The 24,595-nt window shown below is 53.4% G+C and overlaps 4 protein-coding genes and 2 long non-coding RNA genes across 25 annotated transcripts in view, besides 10 other annotated features; 4 read left to right on the forward strand and 2 right to left on the reverse strand.

Moving 5' to 3' along the window:
* ITGA7 (integrin subunit alpha 7) overlaps positions 1-371 on the reverse strand; it is a 31,833-nt gene extending 31,462 nt beyond the window's left edge. The window contains exon 1 of the mRNA XM_047428797.1: positions 249-371. The gene's annotated coding sequence lies outside the window, so the exon portion shown is untranslated. The remainder of the gene's footprint in view (positions 1-248) is intronic.
* Positions 5-8,713, forward strand: BLOC1S1-RDH5 (BLOC1S1-RDH5 readthrough). Its single transcript, NR_037658.1, has 6 exons — positions 5-167; positions 904-976; positions 3,062-3,194; positions 5,660-5,918; positions 7,857-8,020; positions 8,293-8,713. It is a non-coding gene; the product is annotated as a BLOC1S1-RDH5 readthrough (long non-coding RNA).
* On the forward strand, positions 17-3,674 carry BLOC1S1 (biogenesis of lysosomal organelles complex 1 subunit 1). Of its 4 annotated transcripts, none has more exons than NM_001487.4 (4): positions 17-167; positions 904-976; positions 3,062-3,194; positions 3,470-3,674. In NM_001487.4, exons 1-4 carry the CDS (start codon positions 23-25, stop codon positions 3,578-3,580), a joined length of 462 nt encoding a protein of 153 aa, NP_001478.2. In that variant the 5' UTR covers positions 17-22; the 3' UTR covers positions 3,581-3,674. The 4 variants fall into 4 exon arrangements, 1 of the variants encoding a protein (NP_001478.2); NR_037656.2 differs by lacking the exon at positions 17-167 and adding an exon at positions 442-688; NR_037655.2 differs by lacking the exon at positions 904-976.
* Positions 62-201: an enhancer, noted in NCBI's record as "active region_6454". NCBI's record gives its function as "activates an Ori minimal core promoter by ATAC-STARR-seq in GM12878 lymphoblastoid cells {active_cell/tissue: GM12878}" and the evidence as "EXISTENCE:reporter gene assay evidence [ECO:0000049][PMID:35858748]".
* Positions 482-721: an enhancer, noted in NCBI's record as "active region_6455". NCBI's record gives its function as "activates an Ori minimal core promoter by ATAC-STARR-seq in GM12878 lymphoblastoid cells {active_cell/tissue: GM12878}" and the evidence as "EXISTENCE:reporter gene assay evidence [ECO:0000049][PMID:35858748]".
* Positions 1,652-1,811: an enhancer, noted in NCBI's record as "active region_6456". NCBI's record gives its function as "activates an Ori minimal core promoter by ATAC-STARR-seq in GM12878 lymphoblastoid cells {active_cell/tissue: GM12878}" and the evidence as "EXISTENCE:reporter gene assay evidence [ECO:0000049][PMID:35858748]".
* Positions 1,912-1,961: an enhancer, noted in NCBI's record as "active region_6457". NCBI's record gives its function as "activates an Ori minimal core promoter by ATAC-STARR-seq in GM12878 lymphoblastoid cells {active_cell/tissue: GM12878}" and the evidence as "EXISTENCE:reporter gene assay evidence [ECO:0000049][PMID:35858748]".
* Positions 2,072-2,231: an enhancer, noted in NCBI's record as "active region_6458". NCBI's record gives its function as "activates an Ori minimal core promoter by ATAC-STARR-seq in GM12878 lymphoblastoid cells {active_cell/tissue: GM12878}" and the evidence as "EXISTENCE:reporter gene assay evidence [ECO:0000049][PMID:35858748]".
* Positions 4,364-8,676, forward strand: RDH5 (retinol dehydrogenase 5). 2 transcript variants are annotated; one of them, NM_001199771.3, is made up of 5 exons: positions 4,364-4,488; positions 5,119-5,465; positions 5,660-5,918; positions 7,857-8,020; positions 8,293-8,676. In NM_001199771.3, exons 2-5 carry the CDS (start codon positions 5,156-5,158, stop codon positions 8,514-8,516), a joined length of 957 nt encoding a protein of 318 aa, NP_001186700.1. In that variant the 5' UTR covers positions 4,364-4,488; positions 5,119-5,155; the 3' UTR covers positions 8,517-8,676. The 2 variants fall into 2 exon arrangements, with proteins under 2 accessions (NP_001186700.1, NP_002896.2); NM_002905.5 differs by having other exon boundaries at positions 5,124-5,465.
* Positions 4,799-5,427: an enhancer, noted in NCBI's record as "H3K4me1 hESC enhancer chr12:56114612-56115240 (GRCh37/hg19 assembly coordinates)". NCBI's record gives its function as "activates a minimal SCP1, AML or CMV promoter by ChIP-STARR-seq in primed H9 embryonic stem cells {active_cell/tissue: H9 hESC(primed)}" and the evidence as "EXISTENCE:reporter gene assay evidence [ECO:0000049][PMID:30033119]".
* Positions 7,506-14,012, reverse strand: CD63 (CD63 molecule). 16 transcript variants are annotated; one of them, NM_001413284.1, is made up of 9 exons: positions 12,924-12,980; positions 12,247-12,323; positions 11,122-11,310; positions 10,861-10,935; positions 10,671-10,766; positions 10,092-10,232; positions 9,784-9,867; positions 9,490-9,597; positions 7,506-8,992 (listed from the first exon to the last, which is right to left on the reverse strand). In NM_001413284.1, exons 2-8 carry the CDS (start codon positions 12,310-12,312, stop codon positions 9,532-9,534), a joined length of 717 nt encoding a protein of 238 aa, NP_001400213.1. In that variant the 5' UTR covers positions 12,313-12,323; positions 12,924-12,980; the 3' UTR covers positions 7,506-8,992; positions 9,490-9,531. The 16 variants fall into 16 exon arrangements, with proteins under 16 accessions (NP_001400213.1, NP_001400214.1, NP_001244318.1 ...); NM_001413285.1 differs by having other exon boundaries at positions 7,506-9,007; NM_001413282.1 differs by lacking the exons at positions 7,506-8,992; positions 12,924-12,980 and adding exons at positions 13,253-13,364; positions 13,829-14,012 and having other exon boundaries at positions 9,441-9,597.
* Positions 12,377-12,676: a silencer, noted in NCBI's record as "silent region_4535". NCBI's record gives its function as "represses an Ori minimal core promoter by ATAC-STARR-seq in GM12878 lymphoblastoid cells {active_cell/tissue: GM12878}" and the evidence as "EXISTENCE:reporter gene assay evidence [ECO:0000049][PMID:35858748]".
* Positions 12,806-13,412: an enhancer, noted in NCBI's record as "H3K27ac hESC enhancer chr12:56122619-56123225 (GRCh37/hg19 assembly coordinates)". NCBI's record gives its function as "activates a minimal SCP1, AML or CMV promoter by ChIP-STARR-seq in primed H9 embryonic stem cells {active_cell/tissue: H9 hESC(primed)}" and the evidence as "EXISTENCE:reporter gene assay evidence [ECO:0000049][PMID:30033119]".
* Positions 12,947-13,326: a silencer, noted in NCBI's record as "silent region_4536". NCBI's record gives its function as "represses an Ori minimal core promoter by ATAC-STARR-seq in GM12878 lymphoblastoid cells {active_cell/tissue: GM12878}" and the evidence as "EXISTENCE:reporter gene assay evidence [ECO:0000049][PMID:35858748]".
* On the forward strand, positions 13,065-14,823 carry CD63-AS1 (CD63 antisense RNA 1). The gene is made up of 2 exons (NR_183514.1): positions 13,065-13,326; positions 13,633-14,823. It is a non-coding gene; the product is annotated as a CD63 antisense RNA 1 (long non-coding RNA).
* Positions 22,157-22,476: an enhancer, noted in NCBI's record as "active region_6459". NCBI's record gives its function as "activates an Ori minimal core promoter by ATAC-STARR-seq in GM12878 lymphoblastoid cells {active_cell/tissue: GM12878}" and the evidence as "EXISTENCE:reporter gene assay evidence [ECO:0000049][PMID:35858748]".

Raw genomic sequence — 24,595 nt, forward strand, 5'->3', positions numbered from 1 at the left:
CGTGACACAGCGGTCACGTGACATGGCCCCGGGGAGCCGAGGTGAGCGTTCCAGCTTCCGGAGCCGGAGGGGGCCCGGCGTACCCAGCCCCCAGCCCGACGTGACCATGCTGTCCCGCCTCCTAAAAGAACACCAGGCCAAGCAGAATGAACGCAAGGAGCTGCAGGGTGAGCCAAATATCCTGTCGGCCGTTTTCTCTTCGGCCGCGGCCTAGCTTCAGCCCGGAGCCTGGATCTCGAGTAACTAACCATATCCAGGGAAAGACGCCAGCTAGCGGGCAACGGGCATGGGGGAGAGGGAATTTCAGAGAGGCTTTTTTTGAAACTCCTTTCCCTTGCCAACTGGCTCCGGTCCCTTGGGCAATACTCCGGTCCCCTCGGCAACGCCCCCAATCCCCGACCTGCCGCACCTTAGCCCCGCCCCTGCCCCGGAGCGCCCTGCCTATTGGCCCTGGGAGCCTCTCGTCCTGGCGGCGGGAAGGAGCGACTCTGGAGGGAGGAGGGTGTGGGGAACCCCCCAGAGATGGGCTTCTTGGAGGCCTGAAACCACCGGAACGGAGGTGGGGCACTTGTTTCCTGAGTCCGGGCTGGAAATCTCGGAGTTACCGATTCTGCGGCCGAGTAGTGGAGAAAGAGTGCCTGGGAGTCAGGAGTCCTGGGCGCTGCCGCTGACTTCCTGGCGTCCCTGAGTGAGTCCATTTCCCTCCCAGGGTACCAGTTTCCTCATCTCTAAAATGAAAGAGGTTGCGCTATGTTTTGCAAGGTCCTTTTCAGCTCCGGCATTCAGAGATTAGTTAAGAAATTTCGGCAACTAGCAGAATAGTAATGGATGGGTAGGGAACCTTTAACACTACCCCTCAAAAAACCAAGTCTCCCCTCCAATTCCTTTTCCCCCTCTCCCCAGAAAAGAGGAGGCGAGAGGCTATCACTGCAGCGACCTGCCTGACAGAAGCTTTGGTGGATCACCTCAATGTGGGGTATGGACCTCTTATCAACATCAGTTTCCTCCTTCCCCACCCCGCCCAAGTTTAGGCACTGGCCAGTCTGGCCCTCAAATAGCTGTTGAAGGGGTGGGATGTTCCACTAATTCCCCTATCCTACCCCGCCCCTCCCAGCTCTTTGTAGAGCAACTTGAGTCAACTCTGAGTCCTAGCACTGGGCAAGGGAGGAACAGCTGCCGTGGTTAGAGAAGCAGCCAGATTTCCCCTTCCCCACGTTAACTTCCCTGGCATTTACAACTTGATGCCATCTGCCCACCTCCCTTCACCCTTCCAAGTCCAGCTGTCACTTCAGCAGGAGGGAGAGCACCCTCCTTCATTACAGCTTACCACCCTCTCCTCTGCCTCCCACCCTCTGGCAAGCCTGGGGAGCAGCTGGCAGGAAAGAGATGGCAGAGCTGGTGGTGGTGAGAGTAGAACCTGTTCCGGGAGCTATGGCAGAGCCAGGCTGTCTCTTACCTTCCTATTGGGTCTCTAGGGACCACACCCTGCCCCAGCCCTAAATGAGAATGCAAGTAACAGCCAAAGACTTGGGAAAAAGCAAAGAACATTGTCTCTTGACCCTAAGTGACCCAGAAGCGTGCAGAGATGATGATTTGCTAGTCTGCCTATTGGAAGAAAGGCAGTATGGTACCTTCCACCCCAGGTCAAGTAGAACAGCTCGGTGTGAATCCAGAGACTGAGTCATCCAAGTGAGCCATGCAGGGGCTGGGGTCATCTTTGTTACTCATCTTGGGGGAAGGTTGAGAGAAAGAAAGTTGTGGCTGGGGCCTCTGATCTCCCTTCTCTCCAGGCAGCTCTCTTTACTCAGTGTGAATATAGAAGCAGGTGGTCAATGGGGAAAACCAGAAGTTCAGGAATTCTCAGGGGAGTCTGTTTCAGTTCCTACCCGACCCTTGACAGTGACCCAGCTGTCTCCCAAAAAGAAGGAACAGGGTCTGCCCTCCCATTTCCTCCCTCCCACATTGGCACCTCCTGGGCTCTGCTGTGCCCATCATTTGTGAGATTGGCCCAGGCCTTTCCCTCTTCTTTTCCTTTGCTAGATGCCACCCCACTTTCAGCTTAGAGGGCAGCTAAGCCAAAGCCAGATTAGAAAGGGTTTTGTGTTGCTGCCCACGCCTCCTCTCATTCCCCGGAAAGGAAAACAAAGGCTCAGTCTATCTTGGCCCCTGTCAGGTGTCCTGCCCACTCCCTCAGCCCCCACCAACCCCTTCCCCGCTCCAGCCCCCACACATTCCAGTGGGTGGGGGCACCGGATGTGGAATCTCCTGGCTGAGTAGAGCTCTGGGGTGGGAAGTGAAAAATTCAACAGCCAATAAAGGAGAACAATTATTGCAGGGGTTGGGGAGGGCAAAAAACACTGGCAGAAGGTTGGGGACACCAACCCCATGGTAGTAATGGTAACCACAGCCCATACCTTGATTGAAAAGAAAAACTAGTGCCTAAGGCAGAAGGGAGGGAGAGCATGTGTGTGTGTGTGTGTGTGTGTGTTTGTGTGTGTTCCTTGATCTGTGTGGGCAAAAGCGAAGGCTTGGGAGAGCAACTGAGAGCCGAGAAGAAACCCCTGGGATACCCTCTTTTGACCCAGGGTTCCTGGGGAGGGGGTTTGTACTCCCATCCTAACCCGGCTTCAGGGAGGGGCCCAATTTCCCTCTCCAACTTCTTGCATAGATCCCTAGGCTTCCAATCACTGCCAGATGTGTTCCTCCTGCTGGATTTTCCCAGTTTTTCCATGCCCCTTTTTCCCTCCCAGCTTTTTCCTCAGGGATATCACCCCAGGTTTTCCCTCCCTTCCCCCACTCAGCTGCAGGAACTCCTTTTTGGGGTTTGGAGCTGGTATGTTTCTAGTCAGCTCCGAGCTTGGCTCTCCTGGGAATCCTGGGAGTGAAAGGAAGGAGCTGGGTTTATTTGCATGTACTGGTAGTCATTTGCATCACATCCAAAAATGGCCAAAATTATGAGCCCTGATTCTTGGCTGAACTCCCACTGCTGCAATGGAATATTAGTCCCGGAGACCACCCCCAACTAGCTGGAGCTGATCTCCTCCCTCCTCCAACCCCCCAGTGTGGCCCAGGCCTACATGAACCAGAGAAAGCTGGACCATGAGGTGAAGACCCTACAGGTCCAGGCTGCCCAATTTGCCAAGCAGACAGGCCAGTGGATCGGAATGGTGGAGAACTTCAACCAGGCACTCAAGGTGGGCCATACTCCCTACCTCACCACCCCAATCCTGGGCCCCCATTGGCTGCCTCCAGTCAGGTTACCTCAGGTTTAGGTTAAGGAGGAAGTAGGGTGGTCCCAGAAACCCCATCTATAGCCCCAGTGTCAGAAAAGGTAGAGAAAGAAAGAAAAGCAGTTGGTGGGTCCAAGTAAAGCCTTTTCCAGGAGATGAATAAAACGTATTCCCCAGACTGGAAGCCATACTCTACCCATTCTGATTCCTGGGCTCCCACCTCCTCTCCCCCTTCCCAGGAAATTGGGGATGTGGAGAACTGGGCTCGGAGCATCGAGCTGGACATGCGCACCATTGCCACTGCACTGGAATATGTCTACAAAGGGCAGCTGCAGTCTGCCCCTTCCTAGCCCCTGTTCCCTCCCCCAACCCTATCCCTCCTACCTCACCCGCAGGGGGAAGGAGGGAGGCTGACAAGCCTTGAATAAAACACAAGCCTCCGTTTCTCTGTGGTGTGTTTCAGAGAGCTACTAGCTCCAGTGTCGGGGGTGGGAGTGGAAGGTTCAAAGGTGGTTTCCCTGAGGGACAGGTACCTTTTGGGGAGAGGGTGGAACTAGCTTCCTCTTACTATCCCAACTCTCTTCTCCTCCATGGCCCTTGTGCAGGTGTCTGTTAGGCAAGCAGAGGGTGGGAGTTCCCATCCCTCCTGAGAGAAGGTCCTAGTAGCCCTGCCCCAAGCTTCCTAATTCAGGACTTGTTTCCTACAGAAGAGAAACAAGGCAAGGTACAGGCCTGGTCCCCAGCTCTGGCTTTCTGCCTCTCCACGTGCTCATGGCCTCTCCCAGGCTAACTCTAAGCAGTGTCATGAGTCTGAGCCAGGTGGGAGATTAATTCCTGGGGGCACTTCAGGGCTGAGAAGGGGGAGGAATGACAGGTCCAGTAACCGTTACCAACAGAGCAGTGCAGCTGCCATCCTTGACAGCTCCCTCCTCCTTGGAGACCATGACATAGATGGTCAGGAACCCAGGCTGAGAAAGACAGCCAAGGGGTGGGGGGAGCCTAGGCAAATCTGGCCTCTGCCAAGTCCTGGCTTCAGCCAGGCAAGCTCCAGCCTCCCTGGCTCCTCCTCCTCCTCAGTCCTATCCCCACCCTGTCACACATACACTTAATACGCCTGGCATCCAAGTCCACCCACTCCGGACTTTGGCCTTAGCAGTAGTTAGTGTGGGAGGCTGGGAAGACTGGGAGCAGTCTCTTAAACAAAAGCAAAAGAATAAGCTTCGGGCGCTGTAGTACCTGCCAGCTTTCGCCACAGGAGGTAAGTGGATACTGGGAGCTGGGGGAACTGAGAAGACTAGCCAGATATTACATGTATTGCCAACTCAAAACTTTCAGCTTTTAACATGCTTCCTCACACATTATCCCCTTTGATCCTCCACAACTCTGAGGTGGACCTGGTGGGTCTTAGCCCCACTTGGTAGATGAGAAAATAGGTTGAGAGAGACAGTGAGATGCTCAGTATCACACAGCAAACCTCTTGGCCCTATACATCATTCCAAACACAAGACCCAGGTTGCATATAGAAGGTTCAGTGTCCCTGGTTTAGAAGGAGAGGTGGTGTGAGGCAAGCAAGAAGATGCCTCTGCTGCACTCCAGCCTGGGCGACAGAGTGAGACTCCATCTCAAAAAAAAAAAAAAAAAAAAAAAGATGCCTCTGCTCCATACAGCAGGTCTGTACACAGGATCTGGCTCATGTGGTTTTAGTTAAGTTAGCCACAAATACAGGGTCTGCCCACATCTTTGCTTTGAACAGATGAGCCATGGTTGGCCAATTATCTGCCAACCAGATAATTTCTCAATATGCTCACACCAGATGCTTCCAGCTAGGGAGGGTATTAGGGGAAAGGGCTTGAGGGCCACAGTAAACTGGACAAGTTTTTCTGCCCAGCCTAGGCTGCCACCTGTAGGTCACTTGGGCTCCAGCTATGTGGCTGCCTCTTCTGCTGGGTGCCTTACTCTGGGCAGTGCTGTGGTTGCTCAGGGACCGGCAGAGCCTGCCCGCCAGCAATGCCTTTGTCTTCATCACCGGCTGTGACTCAGGCTTTGGGCGCCTTCTGGCACTGCAGCTGGACCAGAGAGGCTTCCGAGTCCTGGCCAGCTGCCTGACCCCCTCCGGGGCCGAGGACCTGCAGCGGGTGGCCTCCTCCCGCCTCCACACCACCCTGTTGGATATCACTGATCCCCAGAGCGTCCAGCAGGCAGCCAAGTGGGTGGAGATGCACGTTAAGGAAGCAGGTAAGTATGGTAGACCACCAGGAATATGGTGTGGGGTGTCCTGATCCCCACAGTCACCCCAGGAGTCACCTGCAAGGGCTGTGGTAAGCTAAAGGGACAATTTGAGGAGAAGCAGTTTTCAGATGCTCCCAGGAAGAAGAGGGAGCTGTGGGAGTGCCTCACCTACCCCCAGCATCCTTTTCATCTCCCCACAGGGCTTTTTGGTCTGGTGAATAATGCTGGTGTGGCTGGTATCATCGGACCCACACCATGGCTGACCCGGGACGATTTCCAGCGGGTGCTGAATGTGAACACAATGGGTCCCATCGGGGTCACCCTTGCCCTGCTGCCTCTGCTGCAGCAAGCCCGGGGCCGGGTGATCAACATCACCAGCGTCCTGGGTCGCCTGGCAGCCAATGGTGGGGGCTACTGTGTCTCCAAATTTGGCCTGGAGGCCTTCTCTGACAGCCTGAGGTGAGGGGTACAGGGCTCTGGGTTCCAGGACTAACAGCAGCCCACTCAACAAACGTGGGCCAGCAGAGGTGGTTAAGATACAGCACATTGGAATAGTTAAGAAGAGACAGTTTAGGGCTAGACTTCATGGGTTCAATGAAGTCTACCCTTATGTAAGCTTTGTGACCATAAGTAGATTACTTCTCTTTACCCATTTTTAACGTGTTTGTTTTTTGTTTTTTGAGATGGAGTCTTGCTCTGTCGCCAGGCTGGAGTGCAGTGGCGCGATCTTGGCTCACCACAATTTCCACCCCCGGGGTTCAAGCGATTCTCCTGCCTCAGCCTCCCGAGTAGCTGGGACTACAGGCATGCGCCACCATGCCTGGCTTATTTTTGTATTTTTAGTAGAGACAGGGTTTCACTATGTTGGCCAGGTTGGTCTCAAACTCCTGACCTCGTGATCCGCCCACCTCAGCCTCCCAAAGTGCTGGGATTACAGGTGTGAGCCACCACGCCCGGCCTTGCCTCTCGTCTTTAAACAATAAGGTTCAAAGTTCCGTGGGAGCACAAAGGAGACATGATGAGGACAACGGGAGTAGGGCCTGAGTTTTTTTTTGTTTTTTTTTTTTTAAGCGTTTTGCTCTTGTTGCCTAGGCTGGAGTGCAATGGCGAGATCTCAGCTCACTGCAACCCCTGCCTCTCAGGTTCATGTGATTCTCCTGCCTCAGCCTCCCGATTAGCTGGGCTTACAGGCACGTGCCACCACTCCCAGCTAATTTTTTTGTATTTTTAGTAGAGATGGAGTTATACCATGTTGGCCAGGCTGGTTTTGAACTCCTGACCTCAGGTGATCCACCCGACCCGGCCTCCCAAAGTGCTGGGATTACAGGCATGAGCCACCACACACGGCCCAAGGCCTGAGTTCTTAGCAGGAGTATAAGGCGCCTAAGCTTAGTCTACCTTCTAAGGAAGCCTGCGTTTGTCACCATCACTCAGCAAATAACCTGAATGTCTCCTGTCTCTCAGCCTTAATTTTTCAGGCAGCATCATGGGACACATACTTTTAGTTTTGAGACAAGGCCTTGCTCTCACCCAGGGTGGAGTGCAGTGGTGCAGTCACGGCCCACTGAACTTCAAACTCCTAGGCTCAAGCAGCTCAAGCGATATCCGCCTCAGCCTCCTGAGTAGCTGAGACCACAGGCGCGTGCCAGCATGCCTGGCTAGTATTTTTTTACAGATGGGGTCTTGCTGTGGTGACCAGACTTGTCTCCAACTCCCGGCCTCAAGCGATGCTTCCGCCTGGGCCTCCCAAAGTGTTGGGATTATAGGTGTGAGCCACTGCATACTGGAACACATACTTTATACTTGAATTTTTTTTTATCCCCTTCCCTCCTGCTCCTTACCTATACTTGGATTTCTACATCTGTGCCAGGGCAGTGGGATGTATCCCCACTTTCCCCATCAGCTTACCCTCCAGCAAATACGAGACTATACCCTTCAATATCCAGCACTCAGGGCTCAACCATGTGTTTTGGGAGCAAGGGAATGGGGTTCCTCTAGGTCAGGAATCGGCAAACTCAGTACTCAAGCCAGATCTGGCCAGCTGCCTACAAGCTGATAATGGTTTTTTTTATTTTTAAATGGTTACATTGTAAACTGTTATATAAGTACCTGATAATATCATTAATTTTGTTTCTTGGCCTGCCATGCTTAAAATATTAACTCTCTGGCCCTTTAAGAAAAAAACGTGCTGACCCCTGCTCTAGATCAAAGAAAACAAACCTCAAAAATACTTTCCTCCCTCTACCCCACTTGACCCTTGTCCCGGGGCAGTAGGCATCTCCGTCAAAACTCTTGTCCCTGGTCTGTGGTAACTTTCTCAGCTCCCCAACCCATGTCCCTCAAAGTCCCCTCCCTATAGGGCAAGAACCCAGCAACTTCGCTCTGCCCCGACTCTAGGCGGGATGTAGCTCATTTTGGGATACGAGTCTCCATCGTGGAGCCTGGCTTCTTCCGAACCCCTGTGACCAACCTGGAGAGTCTGGAGAAAACCCTGCAGGCCTGCTGGGCACGGCTGCCTCCTGCCACACAGGCCCACTATGGGGGGGCCTTCCTCACCAAGTGTGAGTAGCCAGGCCCACACAGGGGCACATGAAGGGAAACAAGTACCAGAAAGGCCAGTCCTGCATAAGCCTGCTAGGAGGTGGGTGGGGCACCCAGGGCAGGGTTGAGGGTGAACAGGATGTTACAAGAGTGCCCAGGCCATGTGGAACCTGCCCACTCCCCACACTGAGGAGGGGACTGAGGGTGACAAGCCCAGGGCCCCAGAAGACAGTACCTAAGATGGGCTGGAGTGAGGAAGGGAAACTGATTGCAACCACCTATGGGGCTGCAGACCTGAAAATGCAACAGCGCATCATGAACCTGATCTGTGACCCGGACCTAACCAAGGTGAGCCGATGCCTGGAGCATGCCCTGACTGCTCGACACCCCCGAACCCGCTACAGCCCAGGTTGGGATGCCAAGCTGCTCTGGCTGCCTGCCTCCTACCTGCCAGCCAGCCTGGTGGATGCTGTGCTCACCTGGGTCCTTCCCAAGCCTGCCCAAGCAGTCTACTGAATCCAGCCTTCCAGCAAGAGATTGTTTTTCAAGGACAAGGACTTTGATTTATTTCTGCCCCCACCCTGGTACTGCCTGGTGCCTGCCACAAAATAAGCACTAACAAAAGTGTATTGTTTAAAAAATAAAAAGAAGGTGGGCAGAAATGTGCCCAGTGGAAGGCTGACCCCATTTAAGTGCCAACTACTCCAAACCGACATGCTCACGGTCTCTGGCCTGTTCAGTCCCTGCAAAACAGCTAGCACCCACAGTGGGGCGCCAGGGAACTGCCTCACATCTACAGCTGCACGTCGGGGAGTGGCCATCAAAGGGCACTTTAATACATTTCCCTTATTTTCTGAAGGGGAGTAAGGTTGCAATTCAGTGTCTGTACTGGGAATGGTCTTCATATTTCTTGGGGGAGAAGAGCAGGTGATGAGGGTTCTGGGCCAGGCTGGGTGGCTTCCATGGAAGAAAAGGCAATATTCACATAAATTCTCCTGCTAAGGACACTGACCACACAGGTGTCAAGGCAACTTATCATACTTCGAAAGGAGCTGGATCCCTTGAGGATTGGCCAGGAAGGGAGGTGCTGGGCCCTTAGCGGTGCACAGAAGGCCAGGAAGATGTCCAAGGCAGATGGGGGCTGGGCTCTCGCAGGTGGGACCTTTCTGGGGAGCTGCTTTGACTTATGCAGCAGATGGCTTCATGAATGTTCATAGTGAGCCTGGCAGCATAAGACTAGGGGGCAGAAAGCACCACAGTCTCTGGATCCTCACTTCTCCCACTGCCTGCCCAACCAACACCTTCGCAAAGTCCTCCTTTCCCAAACACCCCCCAAAATAGACCTCGAAGTACACATGCATTAAGGTCCCAGAGGACAGGGAACATCAGTAAGGAAAGGAAGGAATCAAGCATCACTCTAAGACAAACTCAGACCATCTCTTTTCGGTCTGAAAAAATAATCCGTTTAATTGAAAAACCTGGAGGATACTATTCCACTCCCCCAGATGAGGAGGCTGAGGAGACCAGACCCCTACATCACCTCGTAGCCACTTCTGATACTCTTCACGAGGCAGCAGGCAAAGACAATTCCCAAAACCTAGAAGGAAAGATGGGGACAGGGGTGGAGAGGAGTCAGAAGGGCTAGCTACCTCAGACCCATGCAAGAGACTCCAAACACACACTCCCAGGCCAGTACCTCCTGTTCAGCACCCTCCTCCCCTCAGCCCCTTCCCTCCAGGCACCCTGGACAGAGTCCCAGCCCCTGCTCAGGGTTATCTCTTACCTCGACAAAAGCAATTCCAAGGGCTGCTGCAGCTACCACCAGCACATTTTTCCTCAGCCAGCCCCCAATCTTCTCCACACAGCCCTGAAGGTGGCAGGCACAAAGGACAAAAGCACCATCAGAAACTTCCCACCCCAACCCCCTCCCTTGGTCCATCAGTCTCTTCCCTGCCCCTGTACCTTTCACCCCACCCTTAGCATTTCCAGATCCCCTCCCCATCCCTGACCCTGTCCACCTCCATCCTGGGTCTCTTGCATTCTAAAACATTTCCCAGGTTTCCCAAGTCCCATACACAGTCTCCTCCCTACCTCCTTATGGATCGCCTTCTCGTTGAAATTAATCCCACAGCCCACAGTAACATTAATGCAGCAGGAGTCGGGGACTCGGTTCTTCGACATGGAAGGGATTTTCTCCCAATCTGTGTAGTTAGCAGCCCCACAGCACTTAAACTGGGGGAGGGAAGAAATATGGAGAAGAAGGTTGTTAAGTGAACCTTCACCTTCAATATGGAGATGAGAATTCTTTTTTTTTTTTTTTTTTTTTTTTTGAGACAGAGACTTGCTCTGTTGCCCAGACAAGTGCCCAGCGGTGGCTCAATCTCGGCTCACTGCAACCTCCGCCTCCCGGGTTCAAGCGATTCTCCTGCCTCACCCTCCTGAGTAGGTGGGATTACAGGCACTCACCACCACACCTGGCTAATTTTTGTATTTTTAGTAGAGACAGGGTTTCACCACGTTGGCCAGGCTAGTCTTGAACTTCTGACCTCAGGTGATCTGCCCACCTCGGCCTTCAAAAGTGCTGAGATTACAGGCGTGAGTCACCACACCCAGCCTTGGAGATGAGAATTCTCTATTCCCACCACCCCTGCTCCCAGCAACCCCACTCACATCTGCCTGCATCCTGTCCAGGATCGAAGCAGTGTGGTTGTTTTTCGGGTAATTCTCCATCTGCTGCCGGAAGTTGTTATTAAACTCTGACATCACCTGAGAGTACGGAGGAGCACTGTTGCAGTCAGAATTCAAGCACCAGGGTCCCAGACCCGGCTGAGGCAGGCCCTTCCCATTATTCCCTGCTTACCTTATCTCTAAACACATAGCCAGCAATGGCTGCGGCCACCTCCACCAACATGATAAGAGACAGAAAGATGGCAAACTGCAGGAGCAAAGGACAGAAGTCAAGTTTGGAGTCTATGCATTACAGGGGCCCGTTTTGGCACAGCCGGTCCCTGGACACTCACAAAGGTCTTCCTCACCCACCCACCTCACCCACCTTCCTGAGCCCGAACCAAGCTGCTCTGGCAGTCCCAGACCGCCCATGTTGGTCCCGCCCCCAACTCACCGTGATCATAAGACAATAGTTCTCCTTGCAGGCCCCGCAGCAGCCCACAAAAGCCACCAGGAAGAGGAAGACACCCACTGCGATGATGACCACTGGCAACAGAGAGCCAGGGGTAGCCCCCTGGATTATGGTCTGACTCAGGACAAGCTGTGCCCCGACACCCACGGCAATCAGTCCCACTGCACAGGCCTAAGAGAAAATCAGGTGAGGATTAGGCCATATCCACAACACAGTGGCCCTCCATGGTGGAGGGCAGGGGGTACACCTAGGACACAGACTTGACCCCATCCGGAAGAGAGATTCTCACACCTCTAGGGAATTTCTTTGGCTGTGGGGTAGGGGGATGACCCATCCTTGCCTGCCCCTACCTCCCCTGATCCCCTCCCGGCTCTTTAATCAGGGACATGACCAAATTCAAAAACCTCCCAGAAAGCCTTGACCTCAAGACACGTATTTCTGACCTAGAATAATGCTTTCTACAGGCCTCCAGGGCTCCCAGCTCAATTCTCTCCCAGAACTGCCCCCTCACTATCCTCCAGTGCACATCCCACGCGCGCATCAGCTGTGACTAAGGTTCCTCTGGCCAGTTAGGCCAGGAGAAGGGAAGAGGAAAAGGGAGCAAGAGTGATGTGTCCCTCCCTAGACAAACAGTAGCCTCTCAAGCCAGGAGCCCAGGGCAGGAGCAAATTGAAGTGGGCAGAGCCCTTCCTCACCCCCAAGCGCTGGGAGGAGGGAAAGGGGGAGAGGGGCTGGACAGGGATGAGAGGGTTGGGGAGGGAGAGAGGGGAGAAGGGAGAGCGAAGGGAAGCCCCATGGCGATAGCATCAGGCGGTTGGCTGGTTGCCCCACTGCCCCATATCACAAGTGGTTGGGTCACCAGACAGGAAGGGCCAGGAGGGATGGGGGTAGGGGTTGCTGCACACCCAGGATGGCCATTCTCGGTGGAAACAAGCCTCAGGTGTCCAGGAAAACTGGAGGAGGGAGTGGCTGCGCTGTCTTTCCCTGGCTTTCTTTCCACATCTGGTCTCCAGCTGCCTTAATTCTCATTCCCTCAGCCCTCACCACTGTGGAGCCAGGTCTCCCCGCACCCTGCCGGCGCGCCCCCCAGGACCCCTCGCCACTCACGCAAAAGGCCAGCAGGAGGACGTAGAGCAAGAACTTCACACATTTCATTCCTCCTTCCACCGCCATGGCTGCCGGGCCTGGGGCAGAGGGGAGGGCGGGGGGATTAAAACTGGCCGAAGGGGGACCTCGGTTTCCGGGCTCCCGGCCGGCCCTCGAGGGCTTCCCTTCACGGCCCCGATTCCCGGCCCCTCCCACCCGGAAACCCGCGGTCGGATCCACGTCTCCCAGCCCCCTCTTTACCCGCAGGAGAGGGGTGGGGGCGACGGCCGCGAAGCCCGGACCCCGCCCCGCCGCCTCTGGGGCCCAGGACAGATCCAAGGGCGCCGGCAGGGGCTTGAGCCTGACGCCGACCCTCGGCCCGCCAGTCTCCGGGCGTCAAACACCCTTTCCCCACCCAACACCCAGCCTGGAGAAACGGTCTTCAGCCCAACCCCGACCCCCGCCCCAGCCCCTTTCCCCTGGGCTCTGACCTCCCCGCCCACCAAAAAAAAAAAAAGTGCAGCCAGCACCCCCGCCACACCCTGCCCGGGCCCAGGGAACTTCGAAGCAAAGTTGCTCCAGGGCGGCTGGAGAGCGCCGGACGAGTCTCCGCGGGCCTGGGGCGAGCCCTGGAGGAAGGGACTGCGGGTGGTCTCTCCCAGCCCGCGCCGAAGTCCGCCGGGTCCCCGCGGCCTCACCTGGGCTTCCCAAGGCTGGCTGCGCGTTCCTCTCCCGCCGCGGCTCCGGGGCTCTCTAGCTGCGCCCCCCGGCTCCCGCCCCGCCTGCCGCGCGGCCCCGCCCCGGGCTCCAGCCACGGTCCCCTCCCCCGCCGAGTGGCCGCCGGCCTCCCTCATGTGACGCGGTAACAGCTGCGGCCTGAGTCACTGGGCCCGGCGCGGGGTGGGCCGAGCCCCCCGCCCGGCCAGGGCCACGTGGCCCCTACCCGGAAGAAGGCGCCCACCCCCGCAAAGGGAAAGCCGCAAGGGCAAGACCTCGGGGCGCCTGGGGCCCCCCTCTGGCGCTATACCTCCGTGCCAACTCGGGGTAGGAGAGCGGGGCGGAGCGCAGCCTGGGTCACTCTGGTTCAGAGAAGCGGACGAGGTGGGTGAGAGTTACCCTCTGAGCGCCGGGGCGGAGAGCTGAGGCCGGGTGACAATGTGGTCTGTGAGGTTTCCCCATCCTACCGTAGGGGATGAGCCAGCTCTCTCCTCTGGCTCCAACTCTGTGCAAGCCCCCTCCCCATCCGACTGTGCAGACAGCTGGGGACTGCCTGGGGTCGGGTGGGGCCAGAACAAACACTTCCAGAAAGTCCCTGGCTCACATCCTGGGTGTCTCCCAACATTCTACAGCATTCTAGAGTGGGGATTTCTGGCCCCCCTCTATTAGCACAGCTTCTCCATTTTCCAGGGATCCTAGTCTGAGAAAAGGGGAGGAAGCCCTTCCCCGAAGCCACGCTACCCAGTCAATCAAGACACGTCCGCGTCGGGTCCCGCCCTCTGGGGGAGGATTGACAAGGTCTGTGCTTCCAGCCTCCCAGACAGCTCCTGCATCCGTCTGTGATAGCGAGGGCTTGGGGGAAGACACGAAGGCAGGAGAGGCTTACATCCTCTGGATTTCCCCGTCTTATCCCAGAAGACAAAGCCAGGTGAGGGCTGGAAGCGGGCTAGGGGGATCAAGCTGCCTCCCTCCCTTGTGTGCCAGGGGTGGTCCCCAGAAGGAGCTGATCTGAACAGGCCGGAGAGTAGGACCGGCCGTCACACCCCCACACCTCCAGCCTCGGCCCCACTCCTTGGGCTCTTAAGGTCCTGCCTCAAGAACCACTTCCTGAGTCTTAGTGTATGTGTGTACACAAAGAATGAAAGAAGTCTCTAGAGCTAAAGGAAGGAGATCCGGGCTGGGCTGAGAAGCATCTTCCAGGATCACGGCCTTCCCGCGGGACACACCAAGCCCATTCCGGATCTTGCTCTTCCTGACCATGGCTGGCAGGCTGTGGAGGAGGAGCGGAGAGCAGAAGAAAGGAGTATTCATCAGGTTCCTTATTGTGCTGCCACTAGATGCCAGGCATGTGCTAGGCTTGGGGGCTGCAAGGAGAGGAAGACAGCGGCCCTGCCCTCTGCTAGCAGGCAGAACCGAGTTCTGGCCACACTGTGAAGAAAGGCAGAAGCCTGCGGTGGCAGCTGGTTAAGCTCAGAGGGAGGGAAAGGGAGAGGAGAATGGATTTCACGGAGCAGAAGGATGTGCTCAAGGTGACCTTGGAGAATAAAGGGGAGAGCTCCAGGGACAGAGAAGCAGTCGACTGTGGAAAAAAAAGGAGCATTTTGTAAAGTACATGGCAGGTTGGGGTTGGCTGGCTCAAAGGGCTTGGGACGGATGTGGTGAGATGGGCTGAAGGTGGTCTGAAGATCAAGATTGAGAGACTAGATACATAACAACCAACTGCAATGTTTGGTCCTTCATTGAATGGTTGAACAAACCAGCTGTGAAAGACATTTTGGGACATACAGACATGGACTGAGAATTAGACATAAGAAAATTATTTTGTTAACTGTTATCATGGTTAACAAAACGGTCATATAATATGATTATGTAGAGAAGTTACTCTAGTTTTTCCTCTTTTTTTTTCTTTATTCTCCTATCAGCCAATGCATTTGTTACAGGAAAGGGGTCCCAATCCAGACCACAAGAGAGGGTTCTTGGATCTCATGCAAGAAAGATTCAGGGCGAGTCGCAGTGCAAAGTATAAGCAAGTTTATTAAGAAAGTAAAGTGGTGAAACAACAGCTGCTCCATAGACAGAGTAGGATGTTCCCCAAAGTAAGAGGAGGGGCTAGGCGCAGTGGCTCACCACACCTGTAATCCCAGCATTTTGGGAGGCCTAGGCAGGTGGATCACCTGAGGTCAGGAGTTCGAGACCAGCCTGGCCAACACGGTGAAACCCCGTCTCTACTAAAAATACAAAAAGTAGCTGGGCACAATGATGTGTGCCTGTAGTCCCAGCTACTCAGGAGGCTGAGGCAGGAGAATCACTTGAACCCAGGAGGCAGAGGTTGCAGTGAGCAGAGATCGTGTTGCTGCATGCCATCCTGGGCAACAAGAGTGAAACTCCGTCTCTCTTTTTTTTTTTTTTTTTTTTGAGACGGAGTCTCGCTCTGTCACCAGGGTGGAGTGCAGTGGTGCCATCTTGGCTCACTGCAACCTCCGCCTCCCGTGTTCAAGTGATTCTCCTGCCTCAGCCTCCCAAGTAGCTGGGACTACAGGCACGCACCACTACGCCCAGCTAATTTTTGTGTTTTTAGTAGAGATGGGGTTTCACCATATTGGCCAGGATGGTCTCCATCTATTGACCTCGTGATCCGCCCCCTCAGCCTTCCAAAGTGCTGGGATTACAGGCGTGAGCCACTGTGCCCGGCAAAACTCTGTCTCAAAAAAAAAAAGTAAGAGGAGGAACACATTCACCCTCGGTATAATGCTTGTATATATGGAGAGATGTGCTCTGCTACAAAAGTTTGTGATAAAGGATTAATTTTCTTAATTACTGTATTTTGTAAGAATCGATATTATCTTTTTTATTATTATTAATTTGTTTCCTTAACCATAAACATCTAGGTTTTTTGTTTTTGTTTTTGTTTTTGAGATGGAGTTTTGCTCTTGTTGCCCAGGCTGGAGTGCAGTGGCACAACTCACCACAACCTCTGCCTCCCAGGTTCAAGAGATTCTCCTGCCTCAGCCTCCTGAGTAGCCGGGATTACAGGCATGCGCCACCATGCCTGGATAATTTTGTATTTTTAGTAGAGCCGATATTGTGCCATTGCACTCCAGCCTGGGCAACAGAGCGAGACTCTGTCTCAAAGAAAAAGAAAGAAAGATGAAAATGTTGTGGAGATGGATGGTGCTGATGGTTGCACAATGTGTATGTACTCAATGTCCCTGAATTTTATGTTATATATATTTTACTACACACATACACACAAAGAATGGCCCACTTCTACAGCCTGGAAAGTTGACACAGAGCTCCATGTGTTTGCTGGGGTGCAGGATAGAGGGGCCTCTTAGTGGGAAGTGGCTGATCTCAGACCTGGCCCTTCACATCCTTCAGATCCCCCAGCACCTGTTCCAAGTGCCTGACATCCAGATATGCCACCAAGCCGTCCTGGCTGGCCCAGGCTGCTGCCTCTTGGTTGCCTGGCACCAGTTGGTGGTAGGTGTGCTGAGGCGGGGACCCTTGTCCCTCCACACCAAGCAAAGCCAGCTTTCCCTCCAGCTTCACCACGCCTCCACCTAGGCCCAGCGACACAGCATGGGGGCCACAGATGTCTCAAGCAAACCTGCAGCCTTCTGAGAGCATGTAGGCATCAGCCAGACCCAGTGCCATGCACAGCAGCTTGTAGCCTGCATCTAAGCACAGGAAAGGGTGAGGGGATATGAGGAGGGTGAGGGGATATGAGGAAGGTGAGGAAGAAAGAAGGGATCCAGAATCAAGGGAAAAGAACAGTTGAGGAGAGTTGGGAGAGGGGTGAGGAAAAACCGGAAAGTGAGAGACATAGAGGAGGGTGGGAGGCATGGGGAAGGATGGGGGAAGAGGAGGCAAAAATACATGAAGGATCAATGCTTCTTGGGCTTCAGTTTAAAAAACATTTTCTTTAATTTTTGAAAAATAGGTGTAAGAGAGGAGTGGGGAGAGGGAAGAGGAAGAGATAGGGATGGGAGGGAAGAAGGAAACAAGGATGCATCATCAAAGCCATCCCCCCACTGGGAGGGTAAGGAGAGTGGTGGATAAAATTCAAGGTCCAGAGGTTGGGTCTGAAATGGGGGCCTGAAATTTAAGTCCAGAGGCCTCAGCTTTGGATAAGGATAGAGGCACGGTGCTTGATGGCATCTCTCAGATCGCAGGGTGAAGGAGGGGCTGCACCTGCGCGTTTGCAGGTCCTGCTGGCAGAAAAGCTCATAGACCATCCCGCAGGGCTCTCCAGAGAGTAGGTTATATGCCCCAGCACCAGCACTGAGTGCAGCCCCCAGGGGAGTACTGTGCACGGGCTCCATGGCGACATCACCACTATGTATTTACTGGTTGGTGGAGACTGGGGAACACAAAGGAGTCTCCAGGCCAGGCGCGGTGGCTCACGCCTATAATCCTAGCACTTTGGGAGGCCGAGGCGGGTGGATCACCTGAGGTCAAGAGTTTGAGACCAGCCTGGACAACACAGTGAAACCCCATCTCTACTACAAATACAAAAATTAGCCAGGTGTGGCCAGGGCGGTGACTCACGCCTGTAATCCCAGCACTTTGGGAGGCCAAGGCAGGCGGATCACGAGGTCAGAAGTTCGAGACAGCCTGACCAACGTGGTGAAACCCCGTCTCCACTAAAAAATACAAAAATTAGCCGGGCATTGTGGCGCACGCCTGTAATCCCAGCTACTCAGGAGGCTGAGGCAGGAGAATCACTCTAACCCCGGGAGGCGGCGGTTGCAGTGAGCTGAGAACACGCCATTGCACTCCAGCCTGGGCAACAGAGCGAGACTCTGTCTCAAAAAAAAAAAAAAATTAGCCGGGCGTGGTGGTGCACACCTATAATCCCAGCTACTCAGGAAGCTGAGGCAGGAAAATTGCTTGAACCTGGAAGGCAGAGGTTGCAGTGAGTCAAGATCATGCCACTGCACTCCAGCTTGGGCAACAGAGTGAGACTCCATCTCAAAAAAAAAAAAAAAGGAGTCTTCCAGTCACTGGGTGGCCATCTCTGCTCCAACTTTTTGGGGGAGGCCACACCCTTCATAATTGGCAAGACTACATTACCATGGTATCCAGAAGAACATATTGCCAAAGTCCCTTTTTTATCTCACTTCCAGGAAAGTGGGGCTCAGAGAGGTAAAGCCACTCACTCAGGGTCAACAGATCAACCTGCACGTAAGAATCTGGGTCTTTTTTTTTTTTTTTTTGAGATGAAGTCTCACTCTGTCACCCAGGCTGAAGTGTAGTGGCACTCAGCTCCCCAAAACCTCCGCCTACCAGTTTCAAGTGATTCTCCTGCCTCAGCCTCCCGAGTAGCCGGGATTACAGGCTGTAGCCCGCCACCACACCTAGCTAATTTTTTTAATTCTTTTTTATTTTTTTCCGACAGAGTTTCGCTCTTGTTGCCCAGGTTGGAGTGCAATGGCGCGATCTCAGCTCACTGCAACCTTTGCCTCCCAGGTTCAAGCGATTCTCCTGCCTCAGCCTCCTGAATAGCTGGGATTATAGGTGCCCACCACCACGCTGGCTAACTTTTTGTATTTTTAGTAGAGACGGGGTTTCACCATGTTGGTCAGGCTGGTCTTGAACTCCTGACCTCAAGTGATCCACCTGCCTTGGCCTCCCAAAGTGCTGGGATTACAGGCGTGAACCACCACACCCTGCCAGGGTCTTGATGTACCACTCCAGTGCTGTCACACCTGCCGCCAGCAAGAAGCTCTCTGAGGCCAGAAGCCCTGGTGTGAGACCTGGTTCTGCTGCTCATGAATGGGGTGACCTCTCTCCCTGAGCCTCAGCTTTCTCCCAGTTGAGTAGGAGGGAAACAACTCCCTTCCCCACCTCACAGGGCAGTTGTGAGGATCACAGAATAAACTAAGGGAATTGGTTTTATTACTTTAAGAATGGTGGCCAGGCCGAGTGCAGTGGCTCATGCCTGTGACCTAGCACTTTGGGAGGCTGAGGTGGATGGATAGCCTGAGCTCAGGAGTTTGAGACCAGCCTGGACAACACAGTGAAATTCCATCTCTACTAAAATACAAAAAATTAGCCGGGCGTGGTGGCATGCACCTGTAGTCCCAGCTACTCGGGAGGCTGAGGCAGGAGAATTGCTTGAACCTGGGAGGCAGAGGTTGCAGTGAGATCACAGCACTGCACTCCAGCCTGGGTGACAGAGCAAGACTCCATCTCAAAAAAATAAAAAAATAACAGAAAAATGGTGGCTGGGCACAGTGGCTCACACCTGTAATACCAGCACTTTGGGAGGCTGAGGCGGGCGGATCACCTGAGGTCAGGAGTTCAAGACCAGCCTGACCAACATGGACAGGCCCCCGTCTCTACTAAAAATACAAATTAGCTGGGTGTGGTGGCACATGCCTGTAATCCCAGCTACTGGGGAGGCTGAAGCAGGAGAATCACTGGAACCCGGGAGACGGAGGTTGCCGTGAGCCAAGATGGTGCCATTGCACTCCAGCCTGAGCAACAAGAGGGAAACTCCGTCCCAAAAAAACAAAACAAAACAAAACAAAAAAAAGGAACGGTAAGGCTTGGCTGGATGTGGTGGCTCACACCTGTAATCCCAACACTTTGAGAGGCTGAGGTAGGAGCCCAGGAGTTCGAGATCAGCCTGGGCAAGACGGTAAAACCCCATCTCTATAAAAACAAAAACGGTCGGACGCAGTGGCTCACACCTGTAATCCCAACACTTTGGGAGGCCGAGGCGGGTGGATCACCTGACGTCAGGAGTTCAAGACCAGCCTGGCCAACATGGCGAAACCCTGTCTCTACTAAAAATACAAAAAAATTAGCTGGGCATGGTGGCATGTGCCTGCAGTCCTAGCTACTCGGGAGGCTGAGGCAGGAACATTGCTTGAAACCGGGAGACGGAGCCTGCAGTGAGCCGAGATCATGCCACTGCACTCCAGCCTGGGCAACAGAGCAACACTCCTGGATCAGCCCATCTGCCAGCGTTTTGAGGTCCTTCTCCAAAGACCTCAAAAAACAAACAAAAAAGAATGATGAGGCTTTATCATACCCTGTTTTCAGACTCATGGGAATTAAAATGATTTTGCTTTGAGAAATATCTGGATACCCCACCCCAACTGACATAGCCAAGGTAGGGGTGGGAGGGACAATCCAGCCTCCTTCTGCCCCTCACACTCACCTTGGCCTTGGCCTTGGCCTAGACCCCCCAATTCAAGCCCCAAGGTCTAGCTCCTCTGGCAACCCCACACTCCAGCCCCACCCCCACCAGGATCTGTCCTCAGGGCCCGCCTCAATTCCTTTCCCCATTTCTTGGGCCCCTAGTTCCTGACCTCTGGCCCCTCATTGTCACTCCTGTCCCAGTCTCTTCCCAGCCAGTGCCATCATTAACAACGAGGTCCATCCAAATGCCCAGCTGGTGAGTGGGCAGGATGAACAGCTCCAGCCCATCCTGCTTGAGAGCCTCGTCCAGGTTCATGTCTTGTTTATGCACTCCCTTGGCCAGGATCTTAGCTGCTGTGTGGTTCTGGCCCAGAACCAGGCACAGGAGCACAGAGGTATCTACCTGAGAGTCACAGAGCCTCACAACTAAAGTTTTTCCTAGGATGGAACAGAGATAAACATAGGAGAAATGACAAAGAGGTGATGCTGGGACTGGGTGGTTATCTCAGGTTTCTGTTCCTTGGGACTAAAAGGCCAAGAGGCCTAGGCAGGGGCTCAGGAAAAATTCATTCATGTATTAATCCATGTATGGGGAGCCTAAACATGGAGATAAGTAAGACATGTCCCTGCCTTCAGGGTGCTTACAACCTTATAGGCACAGACAAAAAATACAGTGTGGTGAGAGGGCTATGACAAAGAGAACCCCTGGGTTCTGGAAGCTGCCTAGCACAGGCTGGGGGATGCAGTGGGGCAGCAGAGGACCTGAGATACCTGCCAAAGAAGAAGGGCCTGTGGCAGACTCACCCAGGCTGTTCTCAAATTTGTTGGGTTGTTCCCCATGGATGTGGTCTTGCAGCCCAGGGAACTAGGGGTGAGGAGTGCTGGCACCCCTCGGTAGAGCCCAGACCAGTTTCTCCTGCCCTCACCAATTTCAGGCTCCCATTCCCAGATCCCAGCCAGACCCGCTGGTCGTCCTGACACCCTCACCGTTCACACACACACACATGCCCCTCATCTGACAACTTTGACCTTCACTACCCTCTGCTTTCTCCTTCATTCCCTCTGGAGAGAGAATTCCCTCTGAACACTCCTGCAGTTCCCCCCTGCTTCCCAACAGCTCCCTCACCTGGCAGCCCAGGTACTGCTTTGTCGCCTCCTGGATCAGCCCATCTGCCAGCATTTTAAGGTCCTTGGAGAAGCTGACATTGCACTTAGACCCGTTCTTTTCCTGGAGCAGCAGCTGGAATAGTGGTGCCTCCTGCTGGCAGCATTGGCCACTGCCAGAAACAGGGCCTGTAATGAGGACCCACCATGGGCCCAGAGAGGGAGCAGTAGGTGAGAACTCAGGGAAGAGGTGGGGACCCCAGGGAGGCCAAGAATGAAGATAAGCAGCAGCTTGCACCCAGTGGAGTTGTAGAGCTGGCCTGCCATGAGGAGAGAGGGGACAGATTGGGGATAAGCAGGAGGGAGGCCAGAGGCAAAGGAAGACATAACCCCAAATGATTCTTAGAGTCCCCCAGTTGTATCCTGCCACACTGCCCCCCACCCCAAACGCAAACTCTTTGGCCCCCTTCTCCCAACTCCCAACTTCTCTTAGAGGGCCTTGGGGCTAAAGAGGTTAACAAGACTGCCAAGTGATCCCGGCAAGATAATTATAGGATTTAGAAGGTGGTGTGGGAGAGGACAGTAATTACAGTGACATCCTCTCTGGAGCTGCAGGATTTGTGGGCAGAGGACTGGAAGGGGTCCACTCTACTAACACACCACCCCCTAGCCCAGAATAGCCTCCCCACTCCCCCAGAGGCACATGCAGGGAGAGCAGGAGAGCCGGGGAGTAAGCCTCTCCCCTCTGCTACATCTCAACGAGATGTAGCCCCTCCCCTCCTTAGAAAGCCCTGCAGTGCCAAAGAATGAGTCCACTGACCCTCAAAATAGAAACTTTAGGAGAAAAAAGGAAGAAGAGATAGGATTAGGGATCCTCCCTAGGGAGGGGAGAAAAATAGCTACTCCCCACTGAGCCTAGCTCTGATAGACAAGGCAGTTTGGGTGTGGAGGTGGCCATTGTGGTGAAGGTGCAGGGTGGCGGGAGTCCCCCCTTACAGGGTTCCCTTACAATGGTTCCCCTGTTCTGGCAGCAGCACTTCTGATCATGGTCCAGGCAACTCTGGCCTCAGACCCCGGTGACAGGCTCCAGGGAGCTGCAGCTCTTCCTGAGGATATAGCAGACCATCTACCCAAGCACCTCTCTCTCTAGCAGGTCTTGAAACCTCATACCCTCCCCCGGAACACAGCCTCCTTCTCTCCCGGCAGCTCATACATTTTAAGCCTAAATGCCTCCCTTAGGCTGCGACCCACATTTGCTATGAACCAGTCAGGACCTTGAAGAAGGCGGGCCTGAAGGTTGCCTGGGTAACTCTGGGAGAGGGGCACCCTTGGCAGGAAGACAGTTGCCAGGGAGACTAGGACAGTGGGCGGGGCCCCAAACCTAAGCATGTACTAGGATAAGGAAAGATCTAATGTCCAGATCCCCCCGAACTTATTTTCCGTAAAGCCACCAGTGCCCCATTTTTAGGGAGTCTGGGGCAGCTGGAGTTCTGAAGCTCCTAAAAGAAACCTCCCAGGGGTTAATTCCTGAAACTCAGGGGATCCCAACAGGACCAAACCTGAGGGAACTCAAGGAAATAGGCAAGATCTGGGAGGCGCTGGGGAAAGGACAAGGCTTAATGCATTATGATATGGAACTTTTCGAACTAAAATTCTAAAATGAAAATGTACAACGTATGCAAAAATAAAACCCTTAAGCCGTGCTTTCAGTTCCACCTCCGAGGAGCTGATATTCCAGATTCTACCATCAGATGGCAGTCTTGTCCACTTATTGGATTAAGTTTAGTCTTGGAAACTGAGGAGGCTATCAGGAGATAGAAAACCTTTCTGTCTCAAATGTTCCTGACTCCAATTCCCTGTATTTGGCAGATACCAATAACCCCTCATATATACAAATACACTGTCTTCTTTCCCCCACCCAACTCTTATCAAGTTCACTTAGCAGGCCTCATTCATTCTTTATTCAAAGCTGTTAAGGAATACTTTGGTGAAAAAGTTCCTGCTCTCTCTGGTCTCCCAAGGTGAGCGTTGTAAGTTGGGGTAACAGTAATAACTAATGCATTTAGAACAGTTTTTCAGACATTTAATCTTCATAACCTTATGAAATAGGTACAATATTGTTATCCTTGGCCAGGTACAGTGGCTCACGCCTGTAATCCCAGCAATTCGGGAGGCAAGGCGGGTGGATCACTTGAGGTCAGGAGTTCAAGACCAGCCTGGCCAACATGGTGAAACCCTGTCTCTACTAAAAATACAAAAATTAGCCAGGCTTGGTGGCGCGTGCCTGTAATCCCAGCTATTCGGGCGGCTGAGGATAGGAGAATCGCTTGAACCTGGGAAGTGGAGGTTGCAGTGAGCCGAGATCTCGCCACTGTACTTCAACCTGGGCGACAAAGCAAGACTCCGTCTCTCTCTCTCTCTATATATATATATAATTATTCCCATCTTACAGGTGAGGAATCTGAGGTATAAAGAGGTTTAATAACTTGTCCAAGTTTACACAACCAGAAAAGGGAGAGAGCTGGGACTTGAACCCAGCCAGCCTACTTCTAGTCTAGAAGCTAGGCGATTATCTCCATACCTCACAGAATGGTGCAGATATATCTGGGAGAAGCAACTACTCTAGACCCGAAGTCAGGAAGGGATTCTTGGATGGGATCTATGCTGAGACCTGAAGAAAGAGTAAACTTGGCCAAGAGATTGGTGGGTGGAAGAGAGTGGAAGTAGTAGGGGGAATTGTTCTAGGAAGAAGAAACAACCTGTGCAAAGATTCAGAAATGGTCAAGAGGACAAGGGTGAAACAAGACATTCAGATTTCTAGCCTGGATGATTGTCATTCACTAAAATGAAAAGCTGCAGGATGGGACACATTTTAGGGAGAAAGAAGGGGTTCTCTAACCTGTGATATTTGAAGTGCCATGAAACATCCAGATTGAGATATGCAGGAGGCATCTGGCCTAGAGTTCTGGCTGGTCCTGTTTACTTAATGTCTTCTTTTCTTTTCTTTTCTTTTCTTTTCTTTTCTTTTTCTTTTCTTCTTTTCTTTTCTTTCTTCCTTCCTTCTTTTTTTTTTTTTTTTTTTTTTGTTTGACAGAGTCTTGCTCTGTCGCCCAGGCTGGAGTGCAGTGGCATGATCTTGGCTCACTGCAACCTCCGCCTTCCAGGTTCAAGTGATTCTCCCATCTCAACCTCCTGAGTAGATGGGACTACAGGCGCATATCACCATGCCCAGCTAATTTTTGTATTTTCAGTAGAGACGGGGTTTCACCATGTTGGCCAGGCTGGTCTCGAACTCCTGACCTCAGGTGATCCACCCACCGTGGCCTCCCGAAGTATTGGGATTACAGGCGTGAGCCACCGCGCCCGGCCTACCTAGTGTCTTTTCTAGTTTATATGTTCT

This window comes from Homo sapiens, chromosome 12, assembly GCF_000001405.40.
Source record: "Homo sapiens chromosome 12, GRCh38.p14 Primary Assembly".
NCBI classification, from domain to species: Eukaryota; Metazoa; Chordata; class Mammalia; order Primates; family Hominidae; genus Homo; species Homo sapiens.